General features: G+C 46.3%; 2 protein-coding genes across 13 annotated transcripts in view; one reads left to right on the top strand and one right to left on the bottom strand.

The window, feature by feature from the left end:
- Window positions 1–4,467, top strand: part of PDE6A (phosphodiesterase 6A) — an 86,841-nt gene extending 82,374 nt beyond the window's left edge. For 4 of the 6 annotated variants that reach the window (XM_011537650.3, XM_011537651.2, XM_011537654.2 and 1 more), the window contains one exon: window positions 1,449–3,592. In XM_011537650.3, the coding sequence (XP_011535952.1) occupies window positions 1,449–1,525 (77 nt within the window). In that variant the 3' untranslated portion in view covers window positions 1,526–3,592. Of the gene's footprint in view, window positions 1–1,448 lie in introns of all 6 variants that reach the window. The other 2 variants (NM_001410788.1, NM_000440.3) reach the window with 1 other exon arrangement.
- The window catches only part of PPARGC1B (PPARG coactivator 1 beta), a 127,650-nt gene continuing 113,503 nt past the window's right edge, over window positions 4,461–18,607 (bottom strand). For 4 of the 7 annotated variants that reach the window (NM_133263.4, NM_001172698.2, NM_001172699.2 and 1 more), the window contains 2 exons: window positions 16,506–16,660; window positions 7,398–14,962 (listed from right to left, as the gene is read on the bottom strand). In NM_133263.4, coding sequence (NP_573570.3) covers window positions 14,862–14,962; window positions 16,506–16,660 — 256 coding nt within the window. In that variant the 3' untranslated portion in view covers window positions 7,398–14,861. Of the gene's footprint in view, window positions 5,060–7,397; window positions 14,963–16,505; window positions 16,661–18,607 lie in introns of those variants that run through there. The other 3 variants (XM_011537553.3, XM_011537555.3, XM_011537554.3) reach the window with 1 other exon arrangement.

The following is an 18,607-nucleotide window of genomic DNA, read 5'->3' as shown; positions in this document are numbered from 1 at the left end:
ATACCATCATGAGCTTATGCTTGTATACCACCAGTGACAGAGGTCTCACTATCTTATATGACATCCTCATTCAGTACCACTATTAGAAAGGTCTTCCTAGAACTCAAATTGTTCCTTGTTGAAGCTTCCACTTAGTGGTCATGGTTCTGCCTTCAGAATCAAATGGGATTTGTTTGTTCTAACTCTTTACTACTGACAGCACTGCCCCTCCCCCAAGTCATTTCTTTTACTGATTGTGTGATCTGTTTCCTCACAGGACATGGCATCTTGTCCCTCCCTCACCCTGACTGCCCTCCTTTGCACACCCATCCCTCTTCACCCATGGCTCTTACACATGGAAAATGTCAGGGCCTCAGCTCTGCTCTGGGCAGCGTGGGTTGATTCTAAATGGGCAGCTGCAAATGTAGGGGCCACTTAGAGTTTTGTAGTTTATGCTTTGCACAACTCCGGGGAGTGTCCTGTACATCACAGATGTGTATAGCTATTTTGATTTTCCAGAAAAATGGCAGTGAGGTATCCTGGGAAATAAGTGCATTTTTCTAATTTGTACAAATTGTCTTTTGGGCAAGTAGTAAATCAGTGCAAATTTGTGGCCTTCAGATAAAAAAATACAGATTTGGCTTACATTTTTTTCTCCTTCTTTTTTTTCTTATAGCTAGAGAATCAGTACCAACATTTTTTTAAATGTGAATTTTTGGGCCACATTTTAAAATTGGAATATTTAAGATTTAAAAAATCCAGATTTACAGCCTCTTTTTCTTTCTTTTTTGGAGATAGAGTCTTGCTTTGTTGCCCAGGCTGGAGCGCAGTGGCACGATCATAGCTCACTGCAGCCTCAAATTCCCGGCCTCAAGCGATCCTCCCACCTCAGCTTCCCTAGCAGCTGGGACTTCAGGTGTATGCAACCATGCCTGGCCAATTTTTGTATTTTTTTGTAGAAACCAGGTCTTGCTATGTTGCCCAGGTTGGCCTCCAACTCTTGGGCTCAAGTGATTTTCCTGCCTCAGCCTCCTGAAGTGTTGGGATTACAGGCGTGAGCCCTGTGCCTGGCCCAGCTTTTCTTTCTAAAAGAGTAAAAAGGTAAGATCTGGCCACACCAGTCTATCATTTTTGCATGACAACAATTGGCTGAAGCCGAGTGGCAACTGCCCCCTTTAGATGAGACAGAGGCTGTCTCTAGTTTGTCATGTTCACAGCTCCCCTGGTCTCCCAGACATTGGTGCCGAGTACTGGTTCTCACTTATCATCATCCTCGTGCTGCTATTTTTCTTAGAGAAATGTTCTGTTTCCGTGATTCTCCTCACACCTGGTTTGCCTTCTGCATGTGTTGTTATCTGTTGGCCACTGAAAGCCTTTGAGTTTGCAACTCTTGGTCCAAATTAGGTCAAAGGGGAAGCCCACTGCAGCCTCTTGTCACCTGGTGTGTTCTTTTTCCTGTTTCATTGCAGCAGCCGCAGGAAATCAGCCGGGGGGAAACCCCAGCCCAGGGGGTGCAACTACATCCAAGTCCTGCTGCATCCAGTAACACCACTGGGGATGTGCTGGCTGGACGGCACCACCCTTTCCTGGGAAGAGATGACTCAAGCCAGTGGAAGACCACACACCTTGAGAAGTAGAAGAGTCATAGGATTTGAAAGCTGTTAGAGAATTTAGCTTCCAGGACTGTTCAATCTTTTGGCTTCCCTGGGCCACATTGGAAGAATTGTCTTGGGTCACACATAAAATACAGTAACACTAATGATAGCTGTTGAACTTAAAAAAAAAAATCGCCAAAAAAAAAAATTTCATAATGTTTTAAGAAAGTTTATGAATTTGTGTTGGGCCGCATTCAAAGCCGTCCTGGGCTGCATGTGGCCCACGGGCCGTGGGTTGAACAAGCTTGGCTTATACCTTATCCAGTGGCTTTTAAACATTCTTTTAGTCTTGAGAACTGCCTATTGAGCTAAAACCAATATTCTAGCTTTCATAGACATCAGTTAAACATTTAATTACATTTAATTAATGCCAGATTCACTGGCTTGCTTAGAATCATTTTTGTTCTTATACTTTCAGTTAATGTATTGTAAAAATTTTCAATCATTTTCAAAAGTAGAGAATTGTACGTTGAATCCCCACATACCCATCACCCAGATTCCAATATCAAGATTTTGCTACATGCATTTCGTCTGTCCTTTTTACATTTTCTTTTCAATTTTTTTTCTTACCTGAAGTGTTTAAAGGCAAATCCTGGCCAGGCGTGGTGGCTCACACCTGTAATCCCAGCACTTCAGGAGGCTGAGGTGGGCAGACTGCATGAGCCCAGGAGTCTGAGACCAACCTGAGCAAAATGGCAAAACCCTGTCTCTACAAAAAATACAAAAATTAGCACTCACCTGTAGTCTCAGCTACCTGGGAGGCAGAGGTGAGAGGATCTCTTGAACCCAGGAGGCGGAAGTTGCAGTGAGCTGAGATCATGCTACTGCACTCCAGCTTGGGCGACCGAGCGAGACTCTGACTCAAACAAAAGCAAAAGAAAAGGCAAATCCCAAACATATCATTTCACACCTCTACTATCTCATCTTTAAAGAAATAAGTATGTTTTCTAACATAACCACATCACTGGCCCATGCAACCAATGCCTGCCTAATACCCAGCTGTGATCTATGCTTTGATGGGCTGCACAGACCCCAAGCTTCAGCAAAGGACTTGGGACCCCACCAGCTTTGAGTGCTGTTGACAGACCCTTAGTATCAACCCCATCAGGTGTTACTGCAGCCTTCCCCAGGGTGGCCTACACCCAATGACTGATCCATGCCAGGTGGAGAGGCCTGGCCATCTTGGCTGAGCATGGGATAACTGTGCAGGGCTGTTCCAGCTCCACGACTCCTCGTGGGGTCCACTAAGGCTGTCGCTGGGCTCACATCCCAACTCGACTTCTCCCTCTGCCCACTCCTATTTCCTTCCCTTCCCCAAGCATCGGTCCCCAGGGCACTGCTTAATAAGCATCCTGCAGACTAAGTCCATTTTAGAGTCTGCTTTCTGGGACACCCAACTTGTGATGCCAGCCCTTAATCAACCTTCCTTCATTCTCATGAACGTTTTCAATGGTTGGCTTGCCTGAATCTGATCCAAACAAATTCACATATTGAATTTAGTTGTTTCTTTTTGTTGGTTTTTAGAAAAAAGAAGATGTACTTTTTATTCTTGGATTTTTCATTGATTTCACAGAGTATAAATTAAGTCAGATTATTCTCAATTCCAGAACTTCTGTTTCTTAAATTAGCAGGCATTCTGTTGGTTTAAAAAGATAGATGTTGGCCGGGCGCGGTGGCTCACGCCTGTAATTCCAGCACTTTGGGAGGCCAAGGTGGGTGGATCACCTGAGGTCAGGAGTTCAAGACCAGCCTGGCCAACATGGTGAAACCCCATCTCTACTAAAAATACAAAAATTAGCTGGGTGTGGTGGTGTGCACCTGTAATCCCAGCTACTCAGGAGGCTGAGGCAGGAGAATCGCTTGAACCTGGGAGGCGAAGGTTGCAGTGAGCTGAGATCATGCCACTGCACTCCAGCCTGGGCAACAAGAGCAAGACTCCGTCTCAAAAAAAAAAAAAAGAAAAAAAAAAGATGTGGCAGATAGAATTTCTCTCTTTCTCTATCTTTCATGACGAGGTCTCACTCTGTCGCCCAGGCTGGAGTGCAGTGGTATGACCATAGCTCACTGGAGCCCCAGCTGCCCGGGCTCAAGCAATCCTCCATCTCAGCTTACCAAGCAGCGGTGACCACAGGCATGCACCACCATGCCCAGCTAATTTTTTAAAACCTATCTTTGTAGACATGGGGTCTCATTCTGTTGCCCAGGCTGGCCTCAAACTCCTGACTTCAAGCAATCCTCCTGCCTCAGCCTCCCAAAGTGTTGGGATTACAGGCGTGAGCCACTGCACCTGGCCAGGACTTATTTCTTTTAAACCGAATCTAAGTATGTTCTGGCAAGTATGCAATACCTAGCGGAATGCACTGGCCTGATCAGCATTCATACCATAGTAACTGATGTTGAAAACAGCACAAATAAACCAGAAGTTGAAAATGGCAATAACATGCTAAAAATTTGCAAGTCAATTTGTTACACTTGTCCAAATCTTGATTTTTTTTCCTTCTCTATCGTTCCCCCCCCACCACCAGCTTTATGGAGGTATAATTAGCAAATAAAAAGTATACATATTTAAGGTATACACTGTGATGTTTTGATATACATTGTGAAATGGTTACCATAATTAAGCTAATTAATATATCCATCACCTCACATAGCCATGGTTAAGTTTCTGAAGTCTCTTTTAATCTACAAAGTACTCCTTCCTTTTTTCCATTGTCATCACCTTGCAGAAACAGAGTCAGTTTTCCCACATTCTGTATTTATCTGTTTGTTTCTTTGTGGCCGCATGTAACACATTCCTCTGTCTCATTCTAATAAATGGACATTAGCTCTAGAACTTTTCTTCCTTCCACACTGAATGTTATGCAGAAACTAATATATTAAAACAGTTGCTTTGAGGAGAGGGAGCCACATGGTTTCCCCAAACGGTAAACCACTCATCTACTGTAATCTCTCTTTTTAGACACATGAGGAAATTGAAGGCCAGTGAGAAGACGGGGCTGGGCCAAGTTCCTGGCACAGTTCCCTGGCTTCCCTCCAGGAGATGCCCAGGATCACAGAGAACATAGTGTACAGGGCAGCCACATCCTGGTGGCCTCCACAGTAGATCAATCTGGGCTCCTGACGCATGGGCCCTGCTCATGTTTGCAGGTGGTGATGTCAATAGAGAACTGGGTCTGGAACTTGCATCTTTAAACTCCCAAACTAGATGTTCTGCCCTGCTGCAATGCACACCCTGATAGCAGTGGTCTTTAAGCAGAGGCCTGTCCTAAGAACATCACGTTTGGTGGTTACATGGCAGAGTAGCAAGGAGAAATAAGTGTCACTCAGGAACACACGGGCATTGATGTTGCTGGTCCTGACTCTGCTGCCATGTTTCTGAGTCCCTTCGGCAGGTTCCTTCTGCTCCACTTCCCAGCCTTCCCAATCTGTCAAAAAAAGGTCAAGATCCTTGCAGTGCCTCTCTCAGAGGACTATGGTTAGCACCAAATGAGACTGAGCTGAATGAGGATCACAGCTGATGCTGATTAAGTACTTACCATGTCCTAGGTACTGTGCACGATCTAATTTCATCCTAACAACAATACTCCAAGGGAGAAACTGTTACTAGCTCCATTTATCACATGGTGAGGAGCAGACTTAGAGAGGTTAGAAAACCTGCCCGAGGACACCTAGCTGATAAGCGGTAGAGCCAAGTTTCAAAGCCAAGCAGCTTAGGCCAGGCGTGGTGGCTCAATGCCTGTAATCCCAGCACTTTGGGAGGCCGAGGTGGATGGATCAACTAAGGTCAGGAGTTTGAGACCAGTCTGGCGAACATGGTGGAAACCCTGTCTCTACTAAAAATACAAAAATTAGCTGGGTGTGGTGGCGGGTGCCTGTAATCCCAGCTACTTGGGAGGCTGAGGCAGGAGAATCATTTGAATCCAGGAGGCAGAGGTTCCAGTGAGCCGAGATTGCACCATTGCACTCCAGCTGGGCAACAAGAGCGAGACTCCATCACAAAAAAAAAAAAAAAAAGCCAAGCAGCTTGACACCAGAACCCCAGAACCCCAGCTTGTAAGCATTTTCCTTGTACCATACTGCTTCTGCAAATCAGGTTTTATTGTTGTTTTTAAAGAACATAAGAACATAAAGGACCTTTGAGTTCAGCTAAGCAAATTGTTTCATATTTGGGAAAACCAGGGACCAAGGAGGTGGTCTGCCCAATTCACACAATACAGAAGTGGCAGAGATGGGTCCCAAAGGCAGGTCTTGAGGCTCTGCATCTGCCATCCTATTCCTTGCACTACGGGTAGGATCTACTCAGGAATTCCTGACTGATGGGGCCAGTGCCCTGCAGTGAACGGAAAGGCAGGCCTGTTCTCCTGAAGCTTACAACAGATGGGCAACAGGTACTGAGCCCTCAATCACACACATATTCTCATCACACCAGAGAACTCTGCCCCTAAGTGGAAACGTTCCTATTAATTTTAATGGGAAAAAATCATGATGTGTTCCCTTGCAATCAAAGAAATCCAAACAATCTTTACAGATGGGGAAAATAAATCACCTGAACAAGGAGAATATATGTATGAGTTTGTATGAGTTTATGTAATAAATAGCAACCTGAAAATAGTTTGCACATAACATAAAATGTAATCATTCATTGCACCTGTTCTTATTTTATTTATTTATTTTGAGATGGAGTCTTGCTCTGTTGCCCAGGCTCTGTTGCCACGACCTTGGCTCACTGCAACCTCCGCCTCCCGGGTTCAAGCGATTCTCCTGCCTCAGCCTCCCGAGTAGCTGGGATTACAGGCGCCCCTCACCACGCCGGGCTAATTTTTGTATTGTTAGTAGAGATGGGGTTTCACCACGTTGGCCAGGCTAGTCTCGAACTCCTAACCTCAGGTGATCCGCCCGCCTCAGCCTCCCAAAGTGCTGGGATTACAGATGCGAGCCACCGCGCCCAGCCTGTTCTTGTTTATATATAATTCTCTTTGCCAGTGTTTCAACCCTTTGGGGCTTATGGGTGTCTGGCATTTAAAAATAAAGTTAAAGCACAAAAAACAGCTTTAGGGCAAAATACAGGCTAACCCCTTTGAGACGTGAGGAAATAACACACAGGCACGCAACTGAGAGTCTTGGAAGATGCCACTTCCTCACCCTACTTGCTGGAAGTACACAAAGGAAAATGTTCTGAGCTCATTCAATTACCGCACACAATGCAGGCCTGCTCTCTATGAGATCCTCTGACCAGAAACCATTTTGTAATTACAAATTGATGAGTGTTTTGCCTGGAACCACAATGCCAAAATACCTCCTACAGTGCATTTATTCAATGTGCTTATGTGAAAGTTGATATACCAAAACAAGGAAGTCTTTGTTCAGAAAGTGGTATAGCTTTATAAAAGTCAGGGCAAAAAGTCGTTCATGGAACAGCTGTTATGTGAGATGAGTCTGAATGGTTATTTTATTTATTTATTATATTTTATTTACTTTACTTTTTCAGAGATGGGGGTCTCACTATGTTGCCCAGGCTGGCCTTGAACTCCTGGGCTCAAGTGATCCCCCACCTCAGCCCCTGTGCCTGGCACGAATGGATATTATGAACTGTGAAAAGTGCTCTGAAGGAGGGAGAAGTGTGGTGAGGTGAGGAGCAGACATCATCCGGGGTCTTATCTGAGAAGGTGACGCTGAAAACTGAAATCTCTTCCCCATTTAGTGGTCAGAGTGTCCCTCAATGAGCTCCCAGGACCAACAAGGAAAAACACACATGGGCAAAGCTGTGGGTGGTATTTTGTTTTTAATCTCCATAGTGTATTTGTTAAGTTTATTTATAAGCAGATCACTTCACTATTTACAGTACATGAGCATAGAGATTCTACAGTTTCTGTGATGTAAACAATAACCCCACAGTGGGAGTTTGAGAAAAGAAGCCAGTTCTGAAGTATTTACAGACATTAAAATAGAACTTTATACTCACAGAATAATAATACATAGAGCAATTTGGTTAAATTATCTAGGAAACTATAGAATCTGACAATGTACAAATACAAGAAAACATTTTCTCATTTAGAAGGTAAGACAGAGAAATCACACCAGAAATAAAATAGGGACGATGACAACCACAATATGTAAAAGCAAAGAAGGTTTCCTCCTTGCCTCTTACGGATAAAGTATTTATATAAATAAGGACACAACCCAACAAAATGGAAAAAATATATAAAAATCCTCTACCAATTAAAAAAAATAGCAAAACTAAAAACTTGATTCTCAATCATTAGCAGTGTCCTTTAAAAAATTAAAATTTAGCTTTCTATTATAAATAACAAAGCAGATGTGTCCCTCTGTGTAGGTGAAATTCTTGCACCTTTCTCAATAAATGCATCAATGTAATTCCACACACACACACACACACAAACACACACACACAGGCACAGACGTGTGTATGTGTGCACAGATACACACACACACACCCCCACCACAAACACAGCCTTACACTCACGCACTCAGGCCGTAGTTACCTTGTTAAGCTTCCTAATAAATAATGCCCCCTACAGTAGTACCCCCGGGGATGACAAAACCTCACAGGTTTAGCCATTCCTTGGTTTGACCCTGTCGCAGAGTCAGGGAAAGCCCTGGCTCCTATTGCTCAGAATTCTCTAGGCTGTGTGGTCACACCAAGAGAAAATAATTTGAGTCCAAGATTTGGAAATGCTGGAAAGGACCATAGGGACCACCTTGCCCAGTTGATTAAGGCTGGCTACAGACACCTTCTTTAGAAACCTGGGGTTGGGGAGAGGGCTCGTGTTGGTTTCAACATTAGCAGCTGCCTCTGGAAGAAGCAGATGCTCCAAGCCAATGCTAACAACATGGCACAAGGAGGCGAGGGGGTGGGTGTGAATTCCAGAGCAGACTGCACTAAGCTGGACTTCTGGATGGTCATCTTCCCCAGAAACCATTTGGAAATCCAAGCAGTCTATTCCCCTGCTGCACATACCACCTTGTCCACGCTCCCCTTGAGATTTCCCACCTGTTTCCATTGGAATCAGAACATCCCTCAAGAAACAAAGTTGGGAATAGTTTATGACTTTTTATTCCTAACACAAAAACATTTGACAAGATTTTAAAAATACAAAATACAGAAACAAAAAATTGAACAAAAAAAACTATTTGGCTATTCGGGGATCATATCAAAGATCATGGCCAGGCCCCCCACAAAATCCTTACACCCAACTTCTTATCTTGCCTTGAGGGCAGAATTCGGACCACCCAGCAAAGGTTTACTTAACAAGGTCAGCAGCTGGGCTGCCAGTATTGCAGTTACAGTAAACCCTTCCCGGGCACCTGGACCTCTCCTGGTCCACTCCTGTCTCTTCTGCCCACAGGACAGCTAGTGCATTTCTCAGTTCTGCGTGAGAGTCTACTAAGTGGCTGCTTCTGGAGTCTTCTGACCCTAGTGTTGCACTGATCTCTGAACACAAAGGCAGTTCGTTCAGGCCATTATATTTCATTCCCAAAGTTCACGATGGACAGCAGGGTGGCCGAAAGGATTTATTTGCCTTCCATCTGGGTAGCTGGTGGAGACAACCTTTGGCCACTAGATGGCGACCGCATGTTGATAAGGCAAAGTGCTGAGGTGGAAACTGACCAATTCCCTTCACAAGTAACCAATGAGCAAGGGTGGTCAAGTGAAAAAGGAAGCTTTTGTAAGCCGCCTTGGAGACTCCTTTGACCAAAAATACAGCCCAGGGGGGTTCTAGTTATATAAACCCCTCTTTGAGGAGTTGTTGCACAGCCCAGGGACCGACCACCTATAAAACCTATTTTCCAAGCCCCAAATTTGGGCAGTTGGATTTTTGTACTCCTTCCGGATGTGCAAAGCATACTGATGAAACAGAGTATCTGAAAAGCTGTCCCCAGGAATCACGAAGGCTCAGTCACTGCTGCTATACCATTAAAGAAACAAAAAACAAAAGCTGCCCTAAACATATGCAGCGCGATCAATGCCTCCTGTTGCCCCATATGTTTTACAATCATTTGAAAGAAATGTGTGAAAAGCTCCTAAGCTGTTTTTCTTTAAAAAAAAAAAAAAAAAGTGTATTGCTAGTATTGTCTGAGAACAAGAGAGAAACAGCCAAATGGTCACAACATTCGGATTAACAGCTATCCAGTGGGGACAAAGACAAGGTTAATGTGAGATTTGACATCGTTACCTAGCCAAGTTGGGGGTTTAATTCCTTACTGTCCCCACTAGAAACTATGGCTTAGATCTGTCCCGGGGAGCTGGTCTTCTTGGATAAGGCAACTCAGCCAGGACACAGTGGGATTGAACCTACTGCTGGTTGGTTCTTGCAGAGAACCCTCACCCTGAACAGGAGCTGGGTCAAGTCAGAGAATGGAATCAGTTTCAAGGAGGAGTGATGGATTCCCAATGCTCCTGGTTGGGGATCTGAGCCTCTCAGAGGTGAAAGGGACTTTAATGCTCATATTCAACATTCTCATTTGGTAGATGAGGAAACAGGGGCCCAAGGTCACATAGCAAGTAAGAAACATTAGGGTTTCTGATTCTGAGATGGCTTACAGTTAAGTGACTTACTCTACAAACTCATTTCACTCAGCTGGGCTGTTTTCATCTTTCTGTAAAGGTAGGTACCAAGATCTAAACCCATGGCTCCCTGTTTCAAGGGCTTCCAACAAAAGGCCAGCAAAGGGTTGGCCCCAGCACTGGCTCTCCTGCTGCTGACATCTCCAAAGGCATCTCTGCTCTCTCCTACCTGACAGCAGCCCCATTCCCAAACTCCCTGTCCCAGTCTCTAGAAGATCACTTCACACAGCCAAAGGAGACTCGTATTTTCCAGTGTAGAAACACGGACCCAGGCTGAAGTGTTGGGGTTTTCTCAAAGTGCTTTTATTGTTTAATGCAAAGTCAGCCTTTGCCTACTTCCTGGGTGTCTTGTAGCCGGCTCAGGGCCTCCCCCATCCCATGGTGGTTCTGGGCCAAGGACACATCCATGCATGTGGGTTTCCAACTCTGCAGCTCCCCTCCATTTACCCGGTACCTCCAAACTTGACGAGCAGACCTGGAGCCCATCTGTGTGTAAAAACCCCTCAGGGACTAGGGGACTAACTTTGACATATTGCACATGCACTAGTTTTCTTCTTCCCCATTGGTAAGGATGACAGGGTCCCTCTTCTTTGGCCAGGGAAACCATGACATTCACTTTCTTTGCTGTTGTACATCCAATTTCTTTCCTTAATCATATCTGATGCTGGGATGTGGGTAACCCCAAACTGAAGGCAGCTGCTAAATCTCAAATGCTAAAAAAATACTGCAATTTTGACATCAGTGAGTCAGATCAATACATCCTCTGGGGCTGATTTTGCTTCACAGTTAGGATGAGCCATCTCTTAAGCTGCAGGCTCAAATGGGATTAACTGAACTCTATACCTGGGATGGGCCATGGACTGAGCTGTCCATGCAGAAGGACCAGGCTGTCCATGCCTTCCCTGCCCTTTTACTCACCACTGCACAGCAGCCCCAGTGGGCCTACTGCACATGTCTAGGAGAAATCACTCTAAGAAAACCAACAGGAACAGGCTTTAGGCAACAAGAGACGTCTCACTGCATCTCCTCCCACGTCAGAACTTGAGTACTGGGTCTTTGCAGCTCAGAGCATTCCTCCCTTCCTTCTCCTGCCCGCAAAGCCCTGCCTCTCTCCTGAGTACATATGACACTCCATGCTGCAAGATTTCAAGGCAGATGCAGGTATCTTATGGGTGCTTTTTGACTCAAAGCAGCTTTTTGGTTGAGGGGGCAAGTTGTGACGGAGCAGGGGGTGGGGGCCTTAGCTGCACTCCATCCACTCATATTCTTTAACTCTTTGATGCATTTTCCTTCGGTAACCAGAGCCCCCGAGAATGGGGATTCTGATTCAGCCTTGTACAGACTGAGGAAGGAGATGGAAGAATTCCACTTAGTGGTTGGATCAGACATTTTTGGAAAACACCAGCACGGCACAGAAACGGACAGTACGACCTGCCCTGTGCGGGCGGCTATCGACACAGTCTACAGCAAGCTTTATGGCGATCACATGTAAACATCATCAAGAGCAAACACTAGGACAGAGCTACAACGAGATGGTTGCCAATGGCAGCTGCTCCCTCTGGGTTACTCCTCAATTTGGTGGGAAAGAGACCAAGGTTCACTCGTTTTTCTGAATAGACCTTGGAGTTGCCCTAAATAATACACAGCACCGAATGAGTCCTTCGGGATAGAGGTTGTCTGCAGGGTCGGTAAATTTTAGAACTTGTAGCATTTTATGTACGGGATAGCAAGTAGAGACTACTCGATGCCCTTGGCAGGCAGCGTCCCCTAGCCCTGACTTTAGGTATGTCATGTCCCAATGCCACGCTCAGGTCTCTGCTCAAGGGCCAACGTCTAAGCTAACTACAAGTGTCCTAGGTTAATCTGACATGAAAGGACAGCTTTAGCTGACCCCAAAGCAGGGAGGGACAGACTGGTCCTTTGCTAAAACTCTCCATTTCTTTACTCTAAAGTATCACCAGCCCAAGGCTGACCCTTTGACCAAGAGCAATCAAGGAAGAAGCAAATAGGAGGGGCTAAGAGATCATATATGGACCAACTCCTTTCAGCACACCGGGGTGCCAGGGAGTAAAAGGGACTTACCAAAGTTACAAAGGAAATTCTTGGTAGAATCTGGACTCCCCCAACTCTCCAGACTTGGAATCTAGTGTTCTTTCCTATCTCAGTTCTCTCCTTGATGTAAATCAGGACTTAACTTAGTGGAGGCAGCAGAAAGATCTAAATTTTATCCCATTCCATAATCATTTATTGTGTGCCTACTATGTGCTAGGCAGTGAATAGCTAAAGAGGAAATCCGAATGATCAGGTCTGTGCTGTGGGAAGTCCCTTTTTGGTCCATCTTCCTAAGCCCTGCCTTCCCCAAATATGTTCCTGTCTGTCATTCGTCTACCGCCCCCTGCACCCTCTGCAAGGGGACGTGGGCGTCAAAATAGTATTGGGAGTGTTACGCCATGGAATAGCATTAGGGGAGTTTTCTCTCATGGAACGGAACATCACAGACAGGGATAGGCCAGCATGAAACCCAGCCAGCATATGGTTTTGTGTGATTGTTGGAAACCTTCCAAAGATTAGCCCAAGATGTCAAATAGATTGAACTCTAATCAATTAGTAATGACTTACCAGAGCACTGATTTCAGGATTCTTATAGCACATCCAGGCTCAGGGAACCTGAGTGGTGTGATTGATTAGTTATGTCTGTATTGGTCAAGGAGGTGGGAGTAGTGGCACATGAGCTATGTATTTGCCATCTTGGGCTAGACACTGCCTCAGCAGAAGCTAACAATGTTGAAACATGTCTAATCAGTTCATTTCACAGGAAAGGAAATTGGAGTCCAGAGAGGTCAACTGCTGTGACACACAACAGTTCAAATTCCCTACCCCTACTAAAGCCTGTCTCTTCCGGCCTTGTCCATGGGCTGGGAGTATGCTCACCACTCAGTGGAAGATCATGGGCTCATTTTACCTACTGAGGTATTTGATAATCTTTAAAAACGTCAATTCTCAACAGTCTAGGCTTGGCATAAGCAACAAATTACATTAGCCTGTTTAGTTTAATGAGCCACTTTCAAATTTTTAAAGCAGCAGGACTTAAAAAAAAAATACAAAAATTTCCCGAGGAACCCTGATGTATGAAAGAAATCAGAAACAATGTACTCATACCCTGCCTGGCCATGCTCCCTGCATGAATGGCCCCCAAGGTACCCACAGAACATTAAGCTGGAAATGGCTTTGACATCACTTAAGAACACAAAGTTTAAAGCAAAGCCCAATTGGAGTGTTTTCTCAATTGGAGGAGAGCTAGGAGATTGTCCTATCTATTCCCAACCTTCACTCCCTCCTCCTGGCTCCCCTGCCCCAGCCACCAAAACAACTTTACAGACAAGGACAAGGTAAAGACGAAGGACTACCTGAGGGAGTAGGATGGGCTGGTGGCTGGCCCAAAAAAGATGACTGCTCCCAGACCACCTGTCTGTACCGCTGCCAGGGGTGTCACTGAAGTTCTGACAGTGTGTCCACAGGCACAGACAAACCGCAGGACCACTCAGGATCAAAGCTGATGGTGCATCCAAGACACATGCCAGGGCTTGAATTCACCTGATGCTGGTGAATCAACACCTAATGTAACCCCTAAAATGAGCCCTTAGGCTTCTAGCCCGGTGCCCAATTTAGCCGAACTCACCTCTACCAGTCCCTGAAACGGTGTCTTTACCCCAGCTACTACGGAAGCACGGGACCAAGAACCAGAAGGCCTGGTCTGGGTCACCGCTCTGCCTCCTCACTGGTAACCGGACCTCCCACAGTCATTTCGCCTCTTGAGGAGCTGCCAGCCTCCCCTGGAAAACAGGAATGATGCAGCTTGCCCCGCCTTCCTTACAAGGTACTCAAGAGTCTGAGTACAAATGGATAGACACACACTTGGAGCATGAGCTGGGCACAAGATGGGGGCTCCTATAATTTGAGCCAAACTTGCTCAGTAAGAGACAAGGCAGGGCTTGGCAGATACGGCCCGGAAACGGCAGGCCGCGCTTTCCTGCAGACCAGCCTAGCGGCCACCCAGCACCTCCAGGGCAATCTGGCAAGGGGAGCAGGGCAGCTCAGTGGCAAACACCTCATGACAGTGCATAGTTAAAAAATCAAGGAAGCAATACAATAATCCCAGGCACAGTACATCTGAGCCATAAATACATTATTTTAAGGATATACTTTTTTTTTCAATTAAAAATGAAGTTTATAGTCCTGATTCTATTCACAAGTAACAATTTCATCATCACACACTACAGACAAGAAATGTTATGGTGAACACAGCTGCAAGTCTACGAGAGGAAGTCAGTCGGGAAGGAAGGGGCGATGGGTGACGGACCCGGCACTTCGAGGTGCACCCGGGACAACCCGTTGGAAGCGAGGACACTAATGTGGCAGTGGAACGTCAACACCATGGAAACTCACAGACAGAAGCAGCTTTGTTCAATGTAAACATTGATTTTTTTTTTTTTTAAAGGACAGCAGTTTCAAGTCTCTCTCACGGGTGTTCTCTCACGCTCGCTCGCTCTCCTCATATACTTGATTTCTTTGAAAACGTAAACATATTGGAAGGGCCTTGTCTGAGGTATTGAGGTATTCCTCGAGGGTTAAGGCTGTTATCAATGCAGGCTCTGCTGGGCCTCTTTCAGTAAGCTGTCAAAATCCATGGCTTCATACTTGCTTTTCCCTGACGCAGGAAGGGCCTCTTCTGAATTGGAATCTGGGCATGGGGGTGAAGAGGCAGGGAAGAGGGGAAGGCAGTGAGCAACTTACAAAGACCGGATGGTTGAAGAATCTGCCACTATGAGTGGGCACCGTGGAGTGGCTGCAGCCCAAGGCCTTGGGGAGCTGGGATGAGCGCTGGACTGTGGGCACTGCCTGCCATCCTGCTGGGACATCTTGGCCATGGTATCAGTGTCTCAGGGCCTTGGCTGTCCTATCTAGAGACCTGGAGGCCCAAACTAGAGCACTCCAGAGCCTTTCTAGCTCCAACACCCTACAACTCTACTTCCCCCAACAGCTTCTCGTCCATTAGTAACCTGCTGCAGTGCCACATAAGGGAGGGCTAACAACACTAGAATTTTTTTTTTTTTGAGATGCAGTCTCGCTCTGTCACCAAGGCTGGAGTGCAGGGATGTGATCTCAGCTCACTGCAACCTCTGCCTCTCGGGTTCAAGTGATTCTCCCGCCTCAGCCTCCCAAGTTGCTGGGACTACAGGTGTGCGCCACCACGCCCAGCTAATTTTTGTATTTTTAATAGAGAGGGGGTTTCACCATGTTGGCCACGATGGTCTCGATCTCTTGACCTCATGATCTTCCTGCCTCGGCCTCCCAAAGTGCTGGGATTACAGGCGTGAGCAACTGCACCCAGCCAACACTAGAATTTTTTAATAGATTGGGAAACTGATTCCCATAAATGGACATGCAGCCAAGGGCAGGGCCGCCTGGCCTGGCACCCAGCCGGGTCACTGACACTCAGTCCTGTACCATCAAGGCTGCATTGGATTCTCTCCAGTAAGTGTTTTTTTTTTTTTCTTTCCTTTTGAGACAGGGTCTTGCTCTGTTGCCCAGGCTGGAATGCAGTAGTGCCATCATGGCTCACTGCAGCTCCAACCTCTTGGGTTCAGGTGATCCTCCCACCTCTGCCTCCTGAGTAGCTGGGACTATAGGCGCAAGCCACCATGCCTGGCTAATTTTTATATTTTTTGTAGAGACAGGATTTCACTATGTTGCCCAAGCTGGTCTCGAACTCCTGGGCTCAAGTGATCCTCTTGCCTCAGCCTCCCAAGGTGATGGGATTACAGGCATGAGCCACTGAGCCTGGCCAAGTAATTCTTTCGTACATTGTACTTCTTTGTCCTTCTTCATCATCTTGTCCCCAGGTGGCTGCTGCCTTGTCTGGGGTCACCACGGAATGCCCCTGAAGGGGACAGGGTAGCAGCTGGCCCTGTGAAGTCAAGGAGACCGTAGCCACGGTTCTGCCAGCTGGCTGTGCACATGACTGAATCTTCCTAGAGGCCGTGGGAGGCTGGATTCTCTTTGGTAGCAGTCACAGGACAGGATAAGGTGGACCAGAGGCCAGAAGAGAAACAGGATGGTAGTCTTCAGGCAAAGTGGCTGCAAAGTTATACCAAGCAGCACACTGGGGTGTGGGGATGGAAGCTATGTCCACAAGGCGCTTTAGCTCTGGGTTTTGTTCAAGGAAGGCACTGCTTCCCAAGCTTTGAGTCTTACTAGACTGTGGCTGGGTTTCAGGGGCTTACCGTAGTCAGTGTATCTGGGCCAGCAGAAGTGCCGGAGCCCTCCGTAGCTCAGCTGGAAGGAGGGCTCGTTGCGCTTCCTCAGGGCAGCGCCCTTTGTCAAAGAGAGGGCCGCGTGCTCAGAACACCGGTAGGTGATGAAGCCGTACTTCTCGCCTCTGCGGGGAGGGAGCAAGGAGAGTATGTTATTGGGCTGGCTGGGTGGACACTGTGAGACCACCCATTACTAGATGAGGAACCGACTGCCACAGTGATTCGATACCCACATCACGTGGCCCCCTAGATAGAGATGATGATGACCACTGGGCTGACTTCTGCAATGTGGTAATAATGAAAGCAGCTAATATGTTGAATGTCTGCCAGGTGTTGGCCATCACATCTTGCCTCAGACACTCCTCAGATGAGCCTGTGAGGTGGGTACTGTTGTTATCTCCACCTTGCAGATGAGGAAAGAGGTTCTGCGGAGTTCAGTAATTTACCCAAAAGCAAGTGGCAGAGCAGGGATTCAAACCCAGGCCTCTGACATTAAAGCTGATGCTCTTAACACCGCTGTATGTTTCTCCTATCATTCCCATTTCCCTGGATTTGCCATTGCCATGCCATTCCCCTGCCTATACTACTGTACCACTTTCTGCCTCCTTCAAAGCCAGCCTCAGTCACCAATTCCTTGGCTGCCATCTTGGCCTTCACCTCCCCTAGTAGGGCTGGTCTTCTGCACGCATCTTGCCCTTCATGGTAGACATCTATGATGCCTGCCTGTTCAGCTTCCACTCCCCTTCCTCTGACAACAGCATGTGTGGTCAACCAGGCTCAGGGTGCCAGGGCAAGCCACGTGACAATGGCCCTTCCTGGACACCATGGTTTGTTCAAGGATAAGCCTGTTTACTTAAGGCTGAACCCCAAAGAATCCATCTCAGGTCTTTGCTGGAGTCATGTAGTGACTCCTACCTTCTCAGGGGTCTCTAAGCTGCTGGGGGGTAGCTTAAAGCTACAGGCAGCCACTCTGCAACCAGGAGAAAAGTCTGCCCGAGAAGGACCAAAAGTCAATTCTATTCCAACTTTTCACTTCCATGAACAACAGAAAGAGTCCCGACTGACATATCATCTGCTATGTAAACTCCTCAAGGCAGAGACAAAGTGGCATTCACCAACTATTAGGACAGGATTACAAATAGTGGGTGCCTAATAAACATTTACGTGAATCATGTTTCCTGACACCTCTCTGAACCAGGGCCAAGTTTGAACCCTTCTGCCTCTTTATCTATTTATTTGTTTTTTGAGACAGAGTCTCGCTCTGTCACCCAGGCTGGAATGCAGTGGTCGCAATCCCAGCTCACTGTAGCCTCTGCCTTCCGGGTTCAAGCGATTCTTATGCCTCAGCCTCCTGAGTAGCTGAGATTACAGGCATGTGCCACCACGCCCGGGTAATTTTTTGTATTTTTAGTAGAGACGGGGTTTCACCATGTTGGCCGGGTTGGTCTCAAACTCCTAGCCTCAAGTAATCTGTCCCAAAGTGTTGGGATTACAGGCGTGAGCCACCATGCCCGGACCCTTCTTCCTCTTTAATGTCTAATATTGGTAGTACGTCCAAGACTCTTTTTTAAAGATCCTGTGTGTTTTTTTAAAATCTTAACAGACTGATCTTTCTCTTTAGAGATTAATTTGCCTGCTTTATTTTTGCATGCTATCTTCATTTGATAGCTTGAAAACTGCACAGAACTTAAAATGGTTCTATTTGTATAATGGTTCTTTTTTAAAAAAATTGGCAAAAACACTTAACAGGACATTTACCATCTTTGCCATTTTTAAGCATACAGTTTGGCAGTATTAAGTATACTCATATTGCTGTGCAACGAAGCTCCAGAAATCTTTCACCTTGCCAAACTGAAACTCTACGCCCATTAAACAACACCTCCCTTATTCCTCCTCTCTGCAGCCCCTGGCAACCATCACTCTTTCTGTTTCGACGAAATAGACTACTTTAGACATAGCATATAAGTGAAATCATACAGTATTTGTCTTTCTGTGCCTGGCTTATTTTACTCAGCACAATGTTGTCAGGTTCATCCATGTGGTGACGTGAGTCAGAATTTCCTTCCTTTTTA

Source organism: Homo sapiens, chromosome 5 (genome assembly GCF_000001405.40).
Source record: "Homo sapiens chromosome 5, GRCh38.p14 Primary Assembly".
Taxonomy (NCBI): Eukaryota; Metazoa; Chordata; class Mammalia; order Primates; family Hominidae; genus Homo; species Homo sapiens.
This window is presented reverse-complemented; position numbering and strand designations above follow the sequence as displayed.